Genomic DNA, 23,288 nt, shown 5'->3' with positions numbered 1-23,288 from the left:
TTCATTTCCTTGTTTCTCATTGTTGCTAGACTGTGAATGTTTTTTAGAGGAGAAATGACCAGTAGGTCTCATTAAATATTTGTCCCCAACATTTAGCTCAGTGGCATACAGCAGATACTTGGTAAGTATTTTGAATGTATGAATGTTTATGGAACCCGGACAGGGATTTAAAAAAAAATGTGTATCTCGTATCTGAATGAGTGAATGTGAGTGAAAGTGGGTGAATGAGTGAATGTCAGTGTACTTGTGTCTTCTCCAGCCCCTGCCTCCATCTACATGTATTATACAAATGAAGAGAGATGTTTTTCACGTGTCGGTGTATGTGCATATGTCTGTGTCTACATATACATACATACAGTCATGTGTCACTTAACAACTGGGATATGTTCTGAGAAATGTGTCGTTAGGCAATATCATCATTGTGCAAACATCATAGAGTGTACTTACACAAACATAGATGGTGTAGCCTACTTCACACCTAAGCTAGATGGTATAGCCTATGGCGTCTACGCTACAAATCTGCACAGGTTTCTATACTGTTACAGTCCCCAACATTATTCAGTAGAATACTGAATATAGTTAACAGTATATTACAGTACTACTGGCTGTACTATACTGTAACTGTATTCAGTATTCTGCTGAATACTGTAGGCAATTATAACACAATGGTAAGCATTTGTGTATCTAAACAAAGGAAAGGTAATGCCTTGCTCTACAGTGTTACAAAGGCTACATCATCACCGGACTATCAGAATTTTTCAGCTTCATTATAATTTTATGGCACCATTGTTTTATATGTGGTCCATTATTGACAGAAGCATCATTCTGAGGTACATGAGTGTACATGTACTACAGCCAAATTCTGTCAAGACACTAATATCCATACTGCACATGTGTAAGTTTCTCCCCTTTAACTGGTAGTTTATTCATTTATTTAGCAAATACCCATGGAACAGCTTTCACTAGATAGACATTACAGTAGATGCTGGAGATTTAACAGTAAGAAAAATACAGTTTCTGCCTAATGAGGGAGACAATCCAATAATCATGAAAAGGGGAAAGGTATACAGTGCTATGACTTTGTAACAGAGGGTCTCTCATCACAGAATGGAAGGTGGAAAAGAAATCCTGATGGCCGGGCGCGGTGGCTCACGCCTGTAATCCCAGCACTTTGGGAGGCCGAGGCGGGCAGATCACGAGGTCAGGAGATTGAGACCATCCCGGCTAACATGGTGAAACCCCGTCTCTACTAAAAATACAAAAAATTAGCCTTTGCACAGGGAGCGGGGGGCAGGGGGCTGAGGCAGGAGAATGGCGTGAACCCATGAGGCGGAGCTTGCAGTGAGCCGAGGAGATCACACGACTGCACTCCAGCCTGGGTGAAAGAGCGAGACTCCGTCTCAAAAAAAAAAAACCTGATGAGACTTCTGAGCTGAGGTCGTAATGATGACTAAGCACTGACTAGGTCCTGGTTACTAGGAAGTGAAGGAGAGTGGCATAGCAGGAGAACACCATAATGGGAAGAAGTGAGCATGTTTGAGGAATGGAAAGAAGGGCCACTGTGGCAGGGAGAGCAGGGTGAGGCTGGGAAGGCAGGCAAGACGTAGCGCATGGAGGGCCTTGCAGGCCAGCTTGAGGGATTGAAGACAACCTCTCAGAGTAATAGAGGTGCCTGCAGGTTTAAGCAGGGGACTGGCATAATGAGATTTTATAAAGGTCACTTTGACTCAGGTATGGAGAACAAATCAGAGAGAGGCAGGGTGGATATGGGAAGAACAGTTAGGCTGAGACTATAGCAGCCTGGTGAAGAGTAATGAATTCAGGAGTTCCGTAGGAGGTGAAACTGTGGGCTAGCTGTGTAAACTTGGGAGACACATCCCAGATATGGTTACTGAAATGTTTACCTGGATGACATTGTCTAGACAGAGAGCATAGCATGGGAGGAGGAGCAGCCTTATGCCAAACCCTAGAGAACTTTAACGTTTAATGACTCTGTATAGGAAGATGAGGCTGCATAGGAAACAGGGCAGGCAGAAGTAGGAGGAAAGCCCACAATGGGGAACACAGACGCTAAGGGACAAAGTGTTTTACAAAGGAGAAGTAGTCAAGATGCAGAATCCTGCTGGGTTGTCAGCGAAGGAGATACAAAATGAGGACACTGCCCACAGGATGGGTTAATTAGTGACTTCAGAGTGCTTTCTCAGTGTCACAATGGGGAGGAAGTAAATTTCAGTGGGTCATGAAACAAGAAATAGGAAAAAGTGAGTATTGCAAATTTTAAAAGACAGTTGGACTGGGAAAATGATTAGACTGTAACATGATTTGTTTATTAAACACACAAACATTAGGAATGTCAGTTATTCAAAGAGTTTGTGAGGTTGCTGTTATTGTTTAGCTCTTCTTGGAAACAAAGAATAAAGCCGCGTACAGTATGTTATCTAGCCAGCCTTTCTACTGTTTGATTATTTAAAATAGCTGAAGAATATTTTGGCTAGCGTTTTACTATTCAGCATACAAAATGCTTTTTTTTCACATGTTTATTTAGTCCTCACAAGATTTTATGTATCAAGAAACTAAGAGTCAGATATTAAATAACTTTTCCAGCCAAATAGAGTGTATGAAAAACTAAGAATAAATGCATCTTTAAATCAAGAGTAGTTCAAAGGGGAAATTTTTTTTCTTTTTTCTTTTTTTTTATTATACTTTAAGTTCTAGGGTACATGTGCACAACGTGCAGGTTTGTTACATATGTATAGATTTGTCATGTTGGTGTGCTGTACCCATTAACTCGTCATTTACATTAGGTATATCTCCTAATGCTATCCCTCCCCACTCCCGCCACCCCACAACAGGCCCCGTTGTGTGATGTTCCTCAAAGGGGAAATTTTTCTAATGTACCAATTGTTGGTGTATATGTGTAAATATATATACATAGCTGTATGCCACAATTAAGAATGTGCGAAAGCTATTGTTTTAATTTTCCAAAAGTTAGCACTTTTAATTTAAATGCTTTACTTGTATTTCTATTATTGAGTTCAGTTATTTTTAGTAGGTATTTTATTTTATTTTATTTTTTTTTTTTTTTTTGAGGTGGAGTTTCACTCTTGTTGCCCAGGCTGGAGTGCAATGGCATGATCTCAGCTTACCACAACTTCCGCCTCCCAGGTTCAGGTGATTCTCCTGCCTCAGCCTCCTGAGTAGCTGGGATTACAGGCATGCGCCACCACGCCTGGCTAATTTTGTATTTTTAGTAGAGACAGGGTTTCTCCATGTTGATTAGGCTGGTCTCGAACTCCCAACCTCAGGTGATCTGCCCGCCTTGTCCTCCCAAAGTGCTGGGATCACAGGCGTGAGCCACCTTGCCCGGCCAGGTCTTTTATTTTAATAACGTTTGTTGCTACTTTTTGAAGATTGACTAATATGTTTAATTTCTCAATTACATGTGCATCTCAAACTCATTTCCCACTTTTGATTCCTAGTTTAGTAATATTGTAAGTATTATAATGAAGACATAGTTGCACCTAAGATTTTTAAAATTATTTACCTTATATAAAGAAGTACAGATGAGGCATTCTTCATTTATCTGTTCATTATAGTTCCAGTTTAAGGCTGACTTTCTAATTAGCTTTAGGCAGCTTTATTAAGATGAAATCACATTCCACATAATTCACCCATTTAAAGTGTACAATCTGATGACTTTTGGTGTATTCACAAAGTTGTACAACCATTGCCACAATCAATTTTTTGAAATTTTTATTACTCCAAAAGGAAAACTTTTCTCCCTTACCCCCTTAGCTGTCACCTCTCTCTCTCTCCCTCTTTCTCTCCTAGTCCTCAGCCACTACTAATCCGCTTTGTCTCTATAGATTTGCCTACTGGGACATTTCATGTGAGTAGAATCATAGGATATGTGGTCTCTTGTGATTGGCTTTTCTTACTTAGCATAATGTTTTCAACGTTCTTCTATGTAGTAGTATGTACTTGTACTTCATTTGTTTTAATGGCCAAATATTTCATTCTGTGTATAAAGTATATTTTATTTATCCATTTATCAGACGATGGATGGGCATTTGGATTGTTTCTACTTCTTGGAGTATACTAAAGCTCTATTCACTAAGTACAATGTTCTAATTAGCTTTTGAGGCATAGACACTATGTATGTGTAGATATAAAAAGGCACTTGTTTGTCTATAAAAAGGCACTTGTTTGTCTAAGTCCATGTATGTAGCTACATTATTCTGAGATAATATTTTGACCTGGGTTCCATGTGTCTAAAGCCTGTGTTTTAACTTGAATGGACAACTGGGAATTCGGAGTTTTTTGACCACTTTAAATATAGTGTCTTGCCTTTGGATGAATAGAGTCATTAGGAGGAAAAATTTGCATATGATGTCAGGTGAATCCCCAAACCAAGGTTAAAGAAGGAAAACACCTTTGGTTACATATAGATTTTCCACATATGGGTCATTAATGCACAGTTGTCTGATTTGAGCTGAGAAATGTGGGCTTTGAAGGGCTATTTAGTAGAAAATGGGTGTAGCAGTCCCTTTCAAAATCTAACTTATGTCGGTGTCTCCTTGAATAGATTTCCCCTTTGCCCTCTCCTAGTTATCCTCACCCTGTGATTTCCAGTAATACCACTCCCTACTCTTAACCCTGCCAAGATTTAAAATACTCCTGCTGTGTAGCATCAGACCTCAAGAACATGAAATAGGTACTTTTTATTGCAGGCTTCTGTCATTTGTTTTTGGCTTAAATCAACTTGAAACCTCCCTTTGTGTGGCCTTTTCTATATGGCCTTATAAAAAAGTGTGTACAGTAGATAGCCACAAAATAGTACCTTCTCATTTGTGCCAAGCTTTAATAAGCAAATGAAAAAATATCTAATATTTTATTAATTGTAAGTATGATTTTCCCCTTTCATAGAAGTCCATGCATTGCTGCTAGCCAAAATAAAATATTACTGTTCTAACTTTAGTATTTTATTACATTGCATTTCATGTAATTCCTTAGTCAGTTTAAGGCCAATGCCATAAGAAGAAAATTGTGCAAGTTAAGCTAATATTGAGATTCTGAGTTCTGAATTTGTTTTTACATTTGTTTTGATAAAAGTGTGTTTGGGGGCAGGAAGCTAAAAGGACATTCACTTTTTCTAACCACGTCCTCCCACCCCACCACCAGGAAGTGCACTAGACGGTCCTGTTCTTACTAAAGGGATTAAAGTAGAAAAGATGAACATGGAAGGAAATAACTCGTAGGTTTGCCTGCAGTTCAAGTTACTAGAAACAATAATTACTGCGTGCCATACCCATTAAGAAATCTTAGTTGGTGACCCATTCACTATAATGTCTGAGGGCAGAGAATTTAGTCTGTTTCTTTTGCTGATGGAACCCCAATATCTGACACAATTTATGGCACGTAGTAGGTGCTCAGTAGACATGTGTTGAATTGATGTGTTTATTTATTTTATTTTATTTATTTATTTATTTTGAGATGGAGTCTCGCTCTGTCGCCCAGGCTGGAGTGCAGTGGCACAATCTCGGCTCACTGCAAGCTCCGCCTCCCGGGTTCACGCCATTCTCCTGCCTCAGCCTCCCGAGTTGGGACTACAGGTGCCCGCCACCACGCCCAGCTAATTTTTTGTATTTTTAGTAGAGATGGGGTTTCACCGTGTTAGGCAGGATGGTCTCCTGACCTCGTGATCCGCCCGCCTCGGCCTCCCAAAGTGCTGGGATTACAGGCGTGAGCCACCGCGCCTAGCCGAACTGATGTATTTATTGAATGGATTCCTGTATGATAAACTCCTTAACCAAGCATTCTAGGCTTTTGATCTCTGGCTTCACTTTATGTCTCTCATCTAAGCCCCATTGATATAATACAAGAATTTGCTTTAGTAAAAAAATTCCATATGTTGCTGCAGCCATTTTCTATGGCGGTCCTTTGAGCAGGGAGCTTGTGAACAGGACATGGATCTTGTAAAAGTGAGGAAGAGGCAGAACTGGCGCAGGACTGTGGAAGGGTGGGGTAAGACTTAGGTAACCAGACAGGGAAGAAGAGAGAACTCTGGAAAAGCAGATAGCCTGATAAACCTTTCCTTTCCTCTAAAACTGTATTCTGACTTAACTAAGCCCACAGGTCCTTCAGCTCATACAAAAAGAAACAAGTTTCATATCTTCATACCAATTGCCCACATACATTTGATTTACAAAGCAATTAAACGTATTTGATTTTGATGAATTATATCTGGGTCTTACTGCTACATTTTTCTAACCTGCCTAGGCTTTTTAAGTGGCTTAATAAGCTTTATTCCCTTGTTCTTAGGGGTGAAAAACAAAAAACAGATAATTCTGACCTTAACAGCCTAATATCTGAAATATTAAAATAGTCTAGGCCATATCTTTCCTTTCACTAAAATACTCCACCAGTGTTTAACCTGTAAGTGAAAATATTCTCCATGTAGTCTCAGTTATTTCACTATGTATTGGTTTTTAATATTTCATCTCTGTCTCACAGTGATCACTTAGTAGTAACTAACTTCGGAAATTAATATATTTTTAATTGCCAAAAAATTGTGTAAAGAGAAAAATAACAGAAAGAGAACCTGGGGTGACTTTGGCTTTTAACTGGAGCTCCTGGCACAGCCCACGCCTGAGGCAACCTTGGTGGTCTAGCAATATCGTATGCGAGTCTTCCGGTTGAACAGTGAAGGACATTTGTGGATCTGTCCATGACCTCTCTCCTTTATGCACTGCCAGTCTCCGGTGTCATCATTAATTAGCCTTCAGGTCTCCCATTTGTCTGCTAGAAAGCATCTCGGATAAGCCAAGTCAATAAATTGGAGCAGGCAAGCTGCCTGGCCTCCGGGGCGCGTGGCTCTGTGGGGACCGTCGGAGGGCAGCCCTCTCCTTTGATCATGTGGGGAAGTTTAATTCTTACAGGCCACGTGGGAATCCCAGCCCGTGGGGCTGCAGAGAGGGCCTTGGAGCACAGCAGTGGAGCTGCTCTCGTTTGTACTGGTTTCAGTTTCTAATTTCAAAACCGCGAAGCTCAGAGGCCTAGGGGAATTGTTTCCCATTTTGCTTCGTCTTTCCCCAAGACTTCGCCTGCATTCTTCAGTGAATTCTCACAATGGGTGGTGGAACTTCAGCACGGGAATGAAAATCATTATCCCTATGTTCTAAACAGGAGATTTGCACCGTGGCATATTTCCGTAAATACAGTGCCCAGCATCTGTAGCAAATAATCCCCAGCCATGACTCTCTTGCTGTTCTGACCTTGACATGTTTCCCAACCAATTTTAGTCAAACATAAAAATAACAAATAATATTTATGAGCCTGCTTGTGAGTGCCAGGCATTCTGCAAATCACTATGTATGTATTATCTTAAATATCATATCATGCCTGTGTTGCGGGAGGTCCCCATTTTGCAGATGAGAAAAACAAGCCACAGCCCACCTGAGTCCTAGTGGGTCTCAATCCAAGCACAAGCTCTTTACCACCCCCATGATATGGCCTCATAAAATTGGAGCAATTTGATGGGCACCGCATGGGCTCTGTCACCACATCTAGCACAAAGGGAGAGCTGCAGCGATCAACCCTGTGAATTCAGGCAAAAGAGAAAGTATTGCTTTTGTAATTGGGGAAACAAGCTCTGCCTTCAGCTTTGCTTTCACCAGGGAGAAGTAACCTTGAAGGAGTTATTGTCAGGCGTTCGATTATATCCTATTAGTAAATTGCAGGCATGTTTTATACTACGTTCATGAAAAACAATTCTATATAAATGAAATTGTTGGAATTTGAATATAGTAGAGGGTTAATTAAATAATTTAAGGAACTCCTCCCAATTTATATTGTGGGAAATCCTAGCTTTTCTTTAACTGTATTCTCAGAATCATAGCTGGAAATAATCAGGAAAGTTTATGTGGCCACAAATGTTCATTGAGAAATGCTGATTCCTTAAAACAGATGTCTTTCCTGCTTCCCTGCCTACCTTGAGAACTACCCAATCAGGATAATCATCTTTGTTACCTTTGTTACCTTGCTTATGACTCATGGGATGAGGTGGTGGACATTTCTGGGGGTCTTTAAAATACACTCAAACCTTAGATCATCTTGGGACACCTCACCATGTTTGAGGAGTACAGAGACACAGAGACGGTGACCCCTTGGTGCAGGGGAAGGGCAAGCAAGTCACATTGCATCTCTGGAAAGCCCACTTGGAGTCTGGGTCAACATTGCTAATATGTATGTATATATATTTTTTAGACAGGAGACAGGGTCTCACCCTGTGAGACTAGGCTGGAGTGCAGAGGTGTGGTCATGGCTTATTGCAGTGTCGACCTCCCTGGGTTCAGGTGATCCTCTCACCTCTGCCTTCTGAATACCTGGGACCACAGGTGCACACCCCCATGCCCAGCCAGTATTTGTATTTTTTGTAGAAACAGGGTTTCACCACTTTGGCCAAGCTTGTCTCAAATTCCTGGGCTCAAGTGATCCACCTGCCTTGGCCTCCCAAAGTGCTGGTATTAGAGGCACGAGCCACTGTGCCAAGCCAACATTGCTAATTTTATTTAAACTTTCCTACACGTGAGAATCTAGTTAAGATGAAGAAACCTTTTTTCTTCATCTACTTTTCCCTTTCTTCCTTTCTTTCTTTCCTTTCCCCTTCCTTCCTTCTTTCCTTCCTCCCTCCCTTCCTACCTCTTCCTCTCTCCTTTCTTTCCTTCCTTCCTTCCTTCCTCCCTTTTCTTTTTTCCTTTTCCTTCCTTCCTTCCTCTTTTTCTTTCTCTCTTTGTCTCTCTCTTCCTTCTTTCCTCCCTCCCTCCTGCCTTGCCTTGCCTTTGCCTTTGCCTTTCTTTCCTCCTTTCATTCTTTCATTCTTTCTTTCCTTTCTTGTCTGTCTGTCTCACTCTATCACCCAGGCCAGAGTACAATGGTATGACACTGCAGCCTCGAACTCCTGGGCAGAAAAAACCCTCCCAGATCAGCCTCCCATGTAGCTGGGTCTACAGGCATGCACCATCATGCCTGGATAACTTAAAAAATTTTTTTTGAGAGACAAGGTCTCACTGTGTTGCCAGACTGGTCTTGAACTCCTGGCCTCAAGTGATCCTCCCACCAAGGCCTCTCAAAGCACTGGGATTACAGGTGCGAACCACGACATTCAGCCAAGATAAGGAAATCTGATGCTTTCGCCAGATACATGGAGCTCTCTAGAGAAGTTTGGGGAGAAGTAAATGAATCCTGCATGATGACTTCTCAGGGATTAATGTATGGACTTTTACATAAATATTAAAGGTAAAACATAAACACTGTGCAGACGGTGATAGATATGTTTGAAAGATGCAAAAACATTGGATTGAAAAATGCTTTGTGGCAATGTTGGCATCTCAGAGAAGCTTTTTAGGATGAACAGGACTTTGTCAGATATTGTTGAAAGAATGTATGGCATGAGAGCAGAGCAGAGAACCACATGAATGAAGACATGGAACTGGGAATGCCGAATAATGTAACTGGAAAACATTGAACAGCTTTGGTTTGGTTAGTCAAATACATGTGGGAAATAGAGCTGAAATATGCCATAATGGAAAAGGCCTTAAATAATCCAAGTCCCCGAAGTTTGAATTTAGTTGAATTTGTGATGAGAACCCATTAATAGTTTTATCTTCTTTTGTACCTTTCCCCCTTTGTTTTCAGGGGACAAGATTGCCTTACAATTTATAGAGACTAGAGAAAACTTAAGCATCAAATTTAACTCTTGATCTCCTCTGTCTCTTAAAAAAACATAATCCAACAAGATACTTCCCCACTATTCTCTATCTCAGCAAATGGCACTTCCAGCAACCCATTGCCCACTCCTTTACCCTTCCATCTGCTTCAACCCTACCTTGACTGAATCAGCAAGACCTATTTGTTACACCTGCAAAATATATCCCAGCTCTATCTACTCTCTCGCTCCTTGGACACTACTCTAGCGCAAAGTGTCCTATTTTGAGAAAAGAATGGTAGTGGGAAGGATATACTTACCATTTGGCCACAGATCCATCTATTTCAAAAGAGGTGAAGGGTAATCTCATAATAGCAGAGAAGCTATAAAGTAGTTATTGTAGAGAGGACAAAAAGGCTTACAAAGAAAGGAAAAAAATGTGGAAAAAATGAATGTTTTAAATGATTATTTGACTGGATTTATAGAATTTGTTCTAGTTGTTTCAAGGTAAGATTTGTATTTTTTCAATAAGATAAGTCATTTAAAAAATTAGTCTTTGCCTCCCAACGGACAGGATTTCCTAGATAGCCTTGGAATGGTTGTCAGAATAGCTAATAGCAGATATTCTAGATAGCTCTATAAAAACTCTTTAAGAAACAATGTCAATAGATAGAGCTTGAATTTCGGTACCCCTGTCCTGTGACCTAGCATCCCTGTATCATGAGAAATCCCTAGATACCTCTGAAAATGTAGGTGATTCTGACCTTGACTCAGAAAATGACAAAGGGTTCCCTCAAATTGTACTTTCATTTTCAGCACCGTTTTGTAGTCCCCAGGGTTGTCTAGGATTTCTGCAATCTAGTTGGCAATATTGCAAATGAAAAGTGTCAGATAACTAATTTCAGAGAACATTTAAGTGGTGTCTTTTGCATTTTCTCTATTTCTGAACTGACATGTTTATTGCTTTGCCTGCAGTATACGTTCTGAGATGCTAGTTTTAAATATGCCAAATTATTGGATAGGAATTTCCCAATGTAAATAAAGATCTCCTTCCCAACCTCCTTCTTCCAAAATACCTTACCTGTGTGTTTATAAATTGCTCCAAGATCTGTAGTATATGTTTCTCTATTTTGTGAACCCCAGGTGGCATGATATCTTTATGGTGAAATCCAGTGCTTTATTAATAGGCTTTTGGACAAGAACATATCTAATTTCCAGCCATGGTCAACAGATGAAAGTGATCTTGACTCAGCTCTAGCTTTGTAGAAACGAAGCCTTTCTTTTCCCAGTGCATGCTGTAACTGGCACAAACACATAGGAACCTTGGGGAGATGCCTCTTGGCTGGGTTAACTGCCTTTTGTGATGGTGAACTATGATTTACTGTGGCTTCCCTGTAGACAAATCGTAACTATCCAATAAGGTAGGTCATTTTTAAAAAGTCAAGTCACCTCAGACCTGATTATCAAAAAGTACTCTATTACAAATTTTAGATAGTCTATCTGAAGTAAATTATGTAAAATTATTTCCCTTGTGTTAGTAGAGGATTAAAAGGAAGGGTAGGTGAACGGGAAGCATGAAGAACTGACAGGGTCCTCCCCGACCTGGTCTTAGTTCTCATGTTGGGATGCGTGTGTCACCCTGGCCAATCACTAGGTTGGTAGTTCTAGACAACTTGGGTGCCTGAGAATTTCTGCAATATATTTTTCAAGCTCTACTTTTGGAGTGTGAATCTGAGGAGGGCTGAGGCCCTTAATTTCGTGAGACTAATCCTCAAGTAGTTTTTGCCTCTCTTTATCTTTGGGAGAACACAAGCAGAATACTTTACCTATCCCAGGTCAGAGACTTTTCTGGATCTCTAGAAGAAAAATGGAAGGATTGTACATTGCCCTGTTCCTCAAGAGTGGTGTAGAATGAACTAATTATTTTTGTTGGTTTGTTTATTATTTCTGGGTTTTGTTCCCCCTGCCCCCCAATCCTGGAATTTGGACCAACAGTGGTTGACAAGGAGTGTGCACAATTGATAGCCAAGTGCATAGCACAGTACCTGGCCCATAGCAGGAGCTCAGCAAATCTGTGTTCCTAAGTCTAATTCTAAATTTCTCTTCACAGCAAGTGAGAAACAGATGGTGGTGGTGTGCAAGGAGTCCCCAAAGGAGTATCTCCAGCCTTTCAAGGACAAACTAGAGGAGTTCTTCCAAAAAGGTAGGAAGCTTTGTCAGCCGCACATACACGTGGCCCTGAAACATCCTTCATTCCATGAATCTTTCTCTGAGGCCCACGGCCCCTGGCATCCTGGCTGACCACAGGCAGCTCTGGTGATTTCATTAGCCCATCTTTCCATGGTGGTTACATACTCACGGTAGATAAAGTTGTCCTGTAGCTTTCATATCACCTTTCAAATCCAGTTTAATATTTTAAATTCTTGAATGTTACTCTGGCTTTTGTAAATTCTCTGAGGACAAACTTTTTTGTCTCTTCATGGGGCTCAAGGAATTCCTTAGCCCGTGTTTACTGACAAATGACATACATGTAAGGCAGATGTGGTCATGCATTTCACATTTGTGGTCAACCTGGACAGGTGGATGGTGATCACCCTCCTGGTTTTATGAGTGTAGCAACTTGGAAACTTGTGTTATATTTTCCATTCCTTTTCAGATAGGAAAATTAGGGCCAAGTGAATGTCACCCATCAATCACTTGCTACCTATCAGCCCTCTGGGGGTTAGTCAGTGAAAGTGATGTGCTGGTATGCATGAGACTCCACACTTTCTTTGAAATCTTAACAGATTTCCTTCCTTCACAGTTTTGGCATGAGTAGGGAACTTCTGTTTATCAGGGTTAGTGAACATGGAAGTATCATGTCTTTTAGATAATTCCTATTCTAATTTCTCAAATTTAACTTAAGATGTAAAACAAAAATAAGTGTGGGGTTGTTGCAGGCAGCTTTTTTCCCTGCTGGAAAGCTAGAGGAAACACACATAGGAGCCTTTGGGGGATATCTCAACATGCTTTTTCTATTACTGAGTAAGGCCACTTGTTACCACACCATCAACAAAAGACTGTTAAGCAGGGTGAATGCATAAAGTGTGGCCAAACCAGCTTGAGAATCAGCAGGGAAATTCTCAGTCTATGAGTCAGAGGAACTCCATTCCAGCTGCTGTTCCCTTGGTGCAGAGACCATTGCTCCCTTCTCCATGATGAAAGGTTGTCTGTATTGAAGTAGGAGAAGTCAGATTTCTCTCTCAGCCATTACAGAACCTCATATATGATGGAAGAAATGCTGTCAGACAAAGTACCATCTTGAGAGCAAAGATACCAATACTTGTGTGCTATGTGACTATAGGAGATGGATTTTATAAGTGACTTATCAAAAAATGCATTGCTGTATAATTATACTGTGTAAATATAACCTAAGTAGCCTGAAGAAAACCATGAACTACTTCCCTTTGCTGACCCCAGTTAATAGTATCTGCTTTTTACATATGCAGAATTAACTTGAAATGAGGCTCATTTGTACTTGGATTCCATCTTTATTTTTAATTGCTATTCTATTTCTAGAAAATTTTGCCATGTGCATGTCAGGGTACTATTTACCTGCATGCTGTAATGCTCTTAGAATCCTGCGTCTGCAAAGCAGCCAGCTTATATTGTGAATTTTATTCTTTTTGTTGAAAAGACATAAATATGAATAGATTTAAAACCTTGAGAATCTTCTTTGGTACCTTGGAAAAGCAATTTGCAAATCCCCATTTGGGATAATGTGTTAGCCTCTTCTCTACTAGGGCTCCCAAGACAATTCTGGTCTATTCAGAGAAAGGGAATTTATATGAGGGAAACTGGATCTTATGACAGGGAAGTAAAGGTATGGCCATAGGAAGCTGTTCTAAGAAAGTCCTAAAACAGTGGTTCTCAACTCTCTTGCATACTAGAATCACTTAGGAGATTTTTTAAAATCTTGATACCCGGGCCCAACTCTAGACCCATCATCAGCATCTCTCAGGGTGGGGCCAGGCATCAGATTTTCTTTCTTTTTTCTTTTTTTTTTTTTTTTTTTTTTTTTACTCTCCACGTAATTCCAGTGTGGAACCCAGATAGCCAGTACTCTCTAGCTTAGTTCACCTTTTAATGTGTATTCAAAGATTTATTCTGAGCCTGCTATAGGTTAGGCTCTATGTTAGAGACCAAGAGTACTAAGATTAATTGTATACTCCTACACTCTGTCCCAAGGAATATCTTAATGGGAAAAGATCTATAATTGAATACAACGAGCTCTTTTTTTTGTTTGTTTTTTGTTTTTTTTTTTGAGGTGGAGTTTTACCCTCATTGCCCAGGCTGGAGTGCAGTGGTGCGATCTCGGCTCACTGCAACCTCCACCTCCCGGGTTCAAGCAATTCTTCTGCCTCAGCCTCCCAGGTAGCTGGGATTACAGGCGCCCACCACCACACCCGGCCAATTTTTTGTATTTTTAGTAGACATGGGGTTTCACTATGTTGGCCAGGCTGGTCTCGAACTCCTGACCTCAGGCGATCCACCCGCCTCGGCCTCCCAAAGTGCTGGGATTACAGGCGTGAGCCACTGTGCCCGGCCAATCAGCTCCTGACTTACAGATGAGGTAAAAGTGACAATCAGCTCATCAGCTCCTACTTTACAGATGAGGTAAAAGTAACATTAGGAATAACATCAAATCATGCTTAAGACAAAACCAGCCAAAATATGACACAGATTGAATTTGAAGGAAACATTACCATTCTATTAAAAAAGTTAAGAATATAAAAATATATATACTATTGTAGGAATCTTAAACATTCCCAATACCGTATGGTAGAAAAGTCTACTGTTGAAATAGCTTGTTACAATTATTTCATTACTTAACTCATTTTGTCAAAACAGTCTAGAATTGTGCTGTTCGATGTGGCAAGCACTAGCCACATGTGGCTTTTGAGAAGCTGAAATGTGGCTAATCCAAACTGAGATGTCTTATGAGGGTAAAACACGGGGTTTTGAAAACTCAGCAGAAAAAACATGTCAAATATTTTATTGCTGATTTTTTTTACTGATTGCATGGTAAAGTGATAACATTTTAGATATGTTAAATAAATAAAACGATTAATATTCATTTATAGGTAAGTTAATAAATATGTTAATAACCTGACAAAATATATTAGCTAAATTATATTTCTTCTACTTCTTGAGTGTGGCTACTAGAAAATCTAAATTGTATTAGTGGTTCACATTCTATTTCTATCAGAAAGTGCTAGTCTAGAGGCATGTTCCGTAGGCTTTCCTCAGCTCATTCCTACACTCTCTTCTCATTGTCGCCCTGCCTTCTCAGCTTGAATCCTAAGTTACTGGAATGCAGAGTTTCACAAGCTAGCCCCCTGCCCACTCTGGGCCTGGCCCTTGTTTGGCTCTCAAGTGGGGCTACGTAACCAAAGGAGGTGACAGCATGCTACTTGGTCAGGCTGTTACCTCTACATTTCTGAAATGTATGGTTTAGGGTTTGTGGTTAAGAAATACATTATAGTTCACAGCAGTATGCTATGATGTAGGGGCTGGGTTTTTGCCAAATTGCAGTATATACAAATGGAGTATCTCCTCTCTACTGTGTAGAGTTCCAAATAGTACTTCATTTATTGCGTAGATATTTCACTGATTCGTAGAAAATGTAGGATTTTCCATTTGCCACAGATAGGCACTATTCACCATAGATAATCAAATTTCTATGACAATTGTCATACAGTTTATAGTATTTCATCTAATACGCTATTTATTGTAAGAAATACCATTATTACATGTACTACAAAAAAAGAAAAATTACTGCCATAAGCCACAACATGTAGACTCTTAAGATGTACCCCAATATCAGAGGCTCTAAAACGTGAAAATTCTATCAATTTTGGAGTTGGTGTAATGTGGTACTATAATTAGGCATATAGAATCAGAGAGGAAGAATGCCCAACACTTTTAGGTAAGACTTTCAGCAAAGAAGATATTTTTGTTTAGAGTTGAAAAAACAAAATAATAATGATGGCAATGATAATGTTAATATTTACTGAGTGCTTCTATCTGCTAAATACCATGGGGAACAAATCACCTTTTTACTTAGTCACCATGACAGTCCTTTGAAGTGAGTACTGTTACCGCCCTGCTATACAGATGAGGAAATTGAGGATTAGAAATTCTCAGCAGACAGGCTACAAAGGGCATTCCAGGCAGAGGAAAACACTGCAAGTCTCAGAAGGATGAAAGACATGATGTGTTTGGGAAATGGCAAGCAACTTGGTGTGGCTAGATCACAAGGCAAATGAGAAGAACACAAGACCAAAACGGTGATAAGAGTCACAATATGACTTGCTAAAGAATCTGAACTTTGTCTGACAGGCCGCAGATAATATTGAAAAATAATGTGTACAGGAGTGACATGATCATGTTGGATTTGTTTGCATTGTTTTGGTTTGTGCAATTATTTTGCAGGGGGTATATCTCTTTGCTTTTTGTTGTGGCTGAGAAATATGTTAGTTATAACTAACAGTAATATAAAAAAATATTGGACAAGTAACAGACTAATTAAGAACTTGAGCAAAAGCAATGGCAAAGCCGAGGTAGGAGGATCACTTGAGGCCAGGAGTTTGAAACCAGCCTGGGCAACAAAGTGAGACCCCATCTCTCCAAAAATTAGTTGAAAGTGGTGGCGCCTGTAGTCTCAGCTACTTGGGAGGCTGAGGTGGGAGGATTGCTTGAGCCCAAGAGTTCAAGGCTACAGTGAACTATCATTCTCCGTACTCCAGCCTTAGCAACAGAGCAAGACGCTGTCTCAAAAACAAACAAACAAAGCAATGGCAGTAAAAATAAGAAGGAAAAGACATAATTGTAAACAGTAAAGGGCTGTTTTAGGCATTACAGGACAGGTTAATAAATTGGATGTACAAAATGAAACAGAGGAGAATAGGGTAACTCCTTTTTCTTGCTTGGATAACTGGTTGGATACTGATAAGACTAGATTTGAGATGGAAGACAGTGAGGTCAACTTTAGACAGGTTAACTTTGTACATGTGAGACGCGCAGGTAGAGATGCTGGGCTCATGGGAGAGAGCTAGATGAGACAAAGGTTCAAGTCATAGGAATGAATGAGATAGCCCAAAGAAAAGAGTGTAGAATGAGGCGATACCTGAAGTATCAGAGTATCTGAGCACAGGATATCATATAACAAATGTAACTGAGAAAAGATACTTCTGTACTTCTACAGCACAGCTTATACAGAGTGTTTTGCAAGAAAGCTAATTCTCTATTAGGAGTCTTATCACTTATAAAGTTTTAAGCAATTGTGTTCTGTATGCCTGAGAAGTCACGTGCGTTGTGACTCAGGATTATTTTTATATCAGCTGCAATTCAGCTCTAACAATCATGATGATTTAATTTTTCTTCTGTAAATCATATCCTGTTGCCACACTCAGATGGAGATGATGCGTTTATCCTTATGTCTTTTTCATTCTTCCCTTCTCAGAATGTCCTTATATAGTGTTATTTGACAAAACTGTGGTACTTTTTCTTAATTTCATTTTCTGAGAAGAATTGAATGTAATTTTAATGGCACCACTTGGCGGGGTTGCAAACTCCATGATATCCATGCCTTTTTTCTTACGTGTCTTTTTTCTTTTCCACACTAGGCTCTTGTTGAAGCTGGTTTATAGCTCAGTTCAGAATAACCTTGTGCAGGCATTTTGTGAGCTCCTGCTTTCCCACCCTCAGATCAAACATGGTCATAATGATATGGCCTTCAAAACTGTGATGCTCACATTAAAAGTTCCCATAAACATGGCAGGGATCCTATAATTAAAAGAAGGCACAGAGCAACTGATTAGATCCCAGGTATAGATCTTGTAGGTGGTCTTTTCATGCTGTTAAATTGGTCATTTGTATTTATAGCTTTGGCAGGGAGGGCTGGAACCTAAACTAGCTCTAATCCCAGCACTCTCCCACACTTGGCCTTATCTCATTCTCCGTTAATTTCGCTTGGCATCCATGAATGGAGCCAAATTCTGAATGATTCTGCATGAACCATTCTAGCCCTAGTCTATGAAACTATTTTCTAAGTTCCTTTGACCAGCTGAGATTAGAGATACTGTTTTTTTTGTTTTGTTTTGTTTTGTCTTGTTTTTTGAGACAGAGTCTTGCTCTGTCACCCAGGCTGTAGTGCAGTGGCGCGATCTTGGCTCACTGCAAGCTCTGCCTCCCGGGTTCACGCCATTCTCCTGCCTCAGCCTCCAAGTAGCTGGGACTACAGGCACCTGCCACCACGCCTGGCTAGATTAGAGATATTCTTAATATCAAAAATTGTTTTAGTTTACCTATGTAACAAACCTTCACATGTACCCCCAAACCTAAAATAAAAGTTAAAAAAAAGAACTATTTTCTAGTAAAAAATAGATAAATTTACCAGGTTTAAAATAAACAAAAGCAGTAATTCTGATTTTCAACATTGAATGCAAAAGGAATTATATAAATAGATGGGTATTCCATGACAGCTGGGACTGTGTCTGTTTTGTCCTGTTCACTCACTTGTCCCAACATCATATAGGCTCAGCCTGTCCCATGATAGGTGTTAATAAGTGTTTGTTGAATTTATGAACAAACAGCTTGAATTGTGTAATGTACCTAGAGGCTATTTTTTCCTCCTCCTTGGGTTTTCTGTTTAAATCCTTTCAGAATTGCTGAATCATCCCAGAATCTGAAGAGGTACATTTTTGGTCGATAATACATTTCTGTGGTCAGACCTCCTGGATATAGAATCATCTTTCTATGTTGGGCATATGCACGTAATCTATTCTTAGTAAATACTTTGGTCAGATTAGATTGACAAAGGCCATACTTAAATCTCTAAGTTGCAAAATAAGAGCAGGTTATTACATAATCTCTTCACTTCAACCCCCAGAAATAAAGAAACAAAACTATCTGAATCACCATATTCAACCACTAAGGTTACAGAGATCAGGAAAGGTCAGTAATCTGAACAATGTAACCTGTGAGGGAAATAATTCTGACGTCCTTTACAAAGCTTGTGGAAAGAAGAAGTATGGCTAGAGAACATGAACTCTGCCTGAGCCAAAATGGGTTCTTGTGTACTCCACTGCTACTCAAGAAAATACCGACAGGCGTGGTTCCAAAGATCATTAAATGGCCAAGAATTAAGATAATCTCTTGTGACTTCCGGATCACTTAAGTAACAGAACAGTAATCCTTGGAAGATGAAGAAAGCTATTTGGCTAGGCGCAGTGGCTTAAGCCTGTAATCCCTGCACTTTGGGAGGCCAAGGCAGGCGGATCACCTGAGGTCAGGAGTTTGAGACCAGCCTGGCCAACATGGCGAAACCCCATCTCTACTAAAAATACAAAAATTAGCCGGACATGGTGGTGTGCGCCTGTAATCCCAGCTGCTCTGGAGGCTGAGACAGGAGAATCGCTTGAACCCAGGAAGCAAAGGTTGCAGTGAGCTGAGATCATACCACTGCACTGCAGCCTGGGCCACAGTGAGACTCCTCCAAAAAAAAAATAAAGAAAAGAAAGCTATTTTATCACAGGTCTATTAGGTAGGCTTTTATCTAAAAGGGCTAGAGGGGATTTTTTTTCCCAGAAATTCCTGCAAAGAGCGTATGTTTTCCCCCGAAGTCGGTTTCTAATGACTATCCAGTAATGGAGTTGTGAAATTATGGTATTTCCATACATTGGAATACTAAGCATCTTTTTTAAAAAAAAAGTCTGTATGTATTGACCTGGAGGATCCCTAATGTATATGTTTAAGTGGATAAAAGCAAGGGTCAGAAGAGTAGTTATGTTATTATTAGGTATATTATTTTATCATTCAGATAAAAATGAAGCAAAAAATGAATACTACCTAACAGTGAGAACAAATAAGAATTAACCTAAGACTGGCCGGGCGCGGTGGCTCACGCCTATAATCACAGCACTTTGGGAGGCCGAGGCGGGCAGATCACGAGGTCAGGAGACCGAGACCATCCTGGCTAACACGATGAAACCCCGTGTCTACTAAAAATACAAAAAAAAAAAAAATTAGCTGAGCGTGGTGACAAGCGCCTGTAGTCCCAGCTACTCAACAGGCTGAGGCAGGAGAATGGCATGAACCCGGGAGGCAGAGCTTGCAGTGAGCCGAGATTGCGCCACTGCACTCCAGCATGGGTGACAGAGTGAGACTCTGTCTCTGAAAAAAAAAAAAAAAAAAAAAACAAAAGAGAACTAACCCAAGACTGATATTCAGCTGGTCCTCACCATAACACCCATACAGGTTGCCTGTTCTGCTAGTTAGTACCTATGTTATTGTTAAATATTTAGACTATTACTCCTAAAACTAATCAAACAGGTTCATTGCTGCAGCAGGTAGAAAATAGGCAGATGAGGTTCATAGGCGTATGCAGATTTGTTATAAATTTGGGTGTTTTAACCAGTGAGTACCTCTTAAAATAGTAAACAAATTTTTTTTGAAAAACAATTTTCTATAGTACTTCGCACTTCACATTTTTCCCTAAGATTCTGCTTCCTATTCATTGCTTCTCCATCATTATACCAACTGGGGTCCCTTAGCCACCTGAACCTAGAATTGGAAACCAAATGGTCTTACTCACAGTCTCATTACTTTCATTGGGTGCTGAACTGGACAACTTAAAAGGAAATCTGAAGGTCCCTTATCAAGCAAGATCTATGAGCTAGTACCTTGGTTTGTTTCCTATGGCTGCCTTCTTCAACATCGCTCTAGATGGCTCTATCTAATGGAAGCCTCCCAGTCAATGAGAAAATGCAAGGAAATGTTTAAAGGCATTGAGAGCTCAAGACAGTCTAATACACACACACGTGTGCACGCACACACACGTGCACACACATGAACCTGCTGGAACCCCTCCGTTCTTTCTCCTTGACTTGGATTGACTTCACTTATTTTGCTCATGCTTCCATCATCACTTCAGTTTCAGGCGTCACACTTTTGTGATGTTATTATTAGGTATGTAACATGAACCCTAATTTACATTATGGTCAAGAAGAGGCCTCTAATATGTAGGGTGTTTTACCTGTTCCTCATATTTTTTTTCTTATTGCCATAATCCTGTTCTTTATTTCATTTGGGCTCTTCATTACACAGGTGCTTCAATGTACACTTTTATGAATATGCCAAAATGAGAGAGTAAAGATCTTCTCTCAGATTACCCCGACACAGACCATCCTTTAAACCTAATCACAAACATAGAACCAAATCTCAGTCATTTATATCTTGAGATCATTGTCAGGATCTGACCTCTTCCGTGGGTATTTGCATTTTAGGCCTTAACTCTAATTTTTTTGTTTGTTTGTTTTTTTGAGATGGAGTCTCGCTTTGTCACCCAGGCTGGAGTGCAGTGGCGCGATCTCAGCTCACTGCACGCTCCGCCTCCCAGGTTCATGCCATTCTTCTGCCTTAGCCTCCCGAGTAGCTGGGACTACAGGTGCCCGCCACTACGCCTGGCTAAGTTTTTGTAATTTTTAGTAGAGACGGGGTTTCACTGCGTTAGCCAGGATGGTCTCGATCTCCTGACCTTGTGATCCGCCCACCTCGGCCTCCTAGAGTGCTGGGATTACAGGCATGAGCCACCACGCCCGGCCTTAACTCTTAGTTTTTTAAAGAGTTTGTCTCCTGTTTTTCTGGAACTCCTGACCTCAAGTGATCCACCCACCCCAGCCTCCCAAAGTGCTGGGATTACAGGCACGAGCCACCACGCCCAGCCTTGTCTTCTGTTTTTAAACACTGTCTCAGAACTACATGCTAGTGGAAGAGAGATGGTAGTGGTTGGGTTTGGAGGTAAGATATTATTTGTCAGATAAGTATCATTAACTCTTACAGGGTCTTTCCTAGAGCAGCAGCAGATATTTACACACACACACACACATACACACACACACACCCCTACATCTTTTCAACGTTATGGAACCAGTTTATTTGCTTGCTTTGGTAGAACAGGGGACTATACCTTAAACTGATTTTTACAACTTTGAGTAGGCCCTCAACCATGTAAGAATTGAAGTATTACTAAGGACAACCTCATGATGGTGTTATTGGGTAATCTCCTCATTTCCCTTTCATCATGGCAGAATCCAAGATAGTTTGATGAGACTCTGGAGCTGCAATTGCATTAACCTCTTTCTGATGATTGGAAATGTCCCCAGGTAGAAGTAGAGGATGGAGCCAAGTCAGTCAGGCTCTTTCTTTCTATGTATAGCCCCTTGTGAATTCACCCTTTTCACATTTCATTAGTTTGTTTTGGAAAAACTAGGAGGACATGAACTCATCCTTTTTTATGGTTGCATAGTATTCCATGGTATATATGTACCACATTTTCTTTATCCAGTCTATCATCAATGGGCATTTGGGTTGGTTCCAAGTCTTTGCTATCGTAAATAGTGCTGCAATAAACATACGTGTGCATGCATCTCTATAGCAGAATGATTTATAATCCTTTGGGTATATACCAGTAATGGGATTGCTGGGTCAAATGGCATTTATGGTTCTAGATCCTTGAGGAATCGCCACACTGTCTTCCACAATGGTTGAACTAATTTACATTCCCACCAACAGTGTAAAAGCATTCCTGTTTCTCTGCAGCCTCACCAGCATCTATTGTTTCTTGACTTTTTAATCGCCATTCTGACTGGTGGGAGATGGTATCTCATTGTGGTTTTGATTTGCATTTCTCTAATGATCAGTGATGTTGAACTTTTTTTCATGTTTGTTGGCCGCATAAATGTCTTGAGAAGTGTTTGTTCATCTCCTTTGCCCACTTTTTGATGGGGTTGTTTCTTGTAAATTTAAGTTCCTTATAGATTCTGGATACTAGGCCTTTGTCATATGGGTAGATTGCAAAAATTTTCTCCCATTCTGTAGGTTGCCTGTTCACTCTGATGCTAGTTTCTTTTGTTGTGCAGAAGCTGTTTAGTTTAATTAGATTAAGCAATACTTTTTTCTACATACATACAACTTTTATTATTTTAGTAAGAATACTTAGCATGAATTCTACCCTCTTTAACAAATTCTTAAGTGTGCAATACAGTCTTATTAACGATAGGCACAATAAAATGTTGTGTTTTTAAGTGATCTGAATGTAGTGAGAGAGCTTTGTGCTTGAAGTCAGAAGACCTAGGTTTGAACACTGGGTTCACCACTTAACCTTTCTATGTGATTTTGCAAAGGATTTTAAGTTCTTGGGGCCTTTTTTTTTTTCTTGTCTGTAAAATGGGAATAGTAATATCTAGTACACAGTGTCATTATGAAGATGAAATTAGATAACATACATGGGAAACCACCATATAAACTATAAAGCTTTAATAAATACAATGTGTTACATTTAAGGCATTCTTATTGTCCCACTTTGACCCTCTGTGAGAAACACCAATATACTGAAAATTTCCTTCCTGAATTGTTAGTTCTGGTGTGTGTGTTGGGGGGTGATTGGGGAGCATGCTATACTTGACTTCAACAGGTGCATAGCACTTCATTTAATTTTGCAGCAATCCTTTGAAACTGATTTTTTTCATTCCTAACTTTC

At 40.1% G+C, this 23,288-nt stretch overlaps 1 protein-coding gene across 15 annotated transcripts in view, besides 1 other annotated feature; it reads left to right on the top strand.

The window, feature by feature from the left end:
• Nucleotides 1-23,288, top strand: part of FMN1 (formin 1) — a 429,171-nt gene that overhangs the window by 325,791 nt on the left and 80,092 nt on the right. For all 15 annotated transcript variants that reach the window (XM_011521509.4, NM_001277313.2, XM_011521504.4 and 12 more), the window contains one exon: nucleotides 11,817-11,909. In XM_011521509.4, coding sequence (XP_011519811.1) covers nucleotides 11,817-11,909 — 93 coding nt within the window. The remainder of the gene's footprint in view (nucleotides 1-11,816; nucleotides 11,910-23,288) is intronic.
• Nucleotides 11,246-12,144: an enhancer, noted in NCBI's record as "H3K27ac hESC enhancer chr15:33148981-33149879 (GRCh37/hg19 assembly coordinates)". NCBI's record gives its function as "activates a minimal SCP1, AML or CMV promoter by ChIP-STARR-seq in primed H9 embryonic stem cells {active_cell/tissue: H9 hESC(primed)}" and the evidence as "EXISTENCE:reporter gene assay evidence [ECO:0000049][PMID:30033119]".

This window comes from Homo sapiens, chromosome 15 (assembly GCF_000001405.40).
Source record: "Homo sapiens chromosome 15, GRCh38.p14 Primary Assembly".
In the NCBI taxonomy this organism is placed as follows: domain Eukaryota; kingdom Metazoa; phylum Chordata; class Mammalia; order Primates; family Hominidae; genus Homo; species Homo sapiens.
This window is presented reverse-complemented; position numbering and strand designations above follow the sequence as displayed.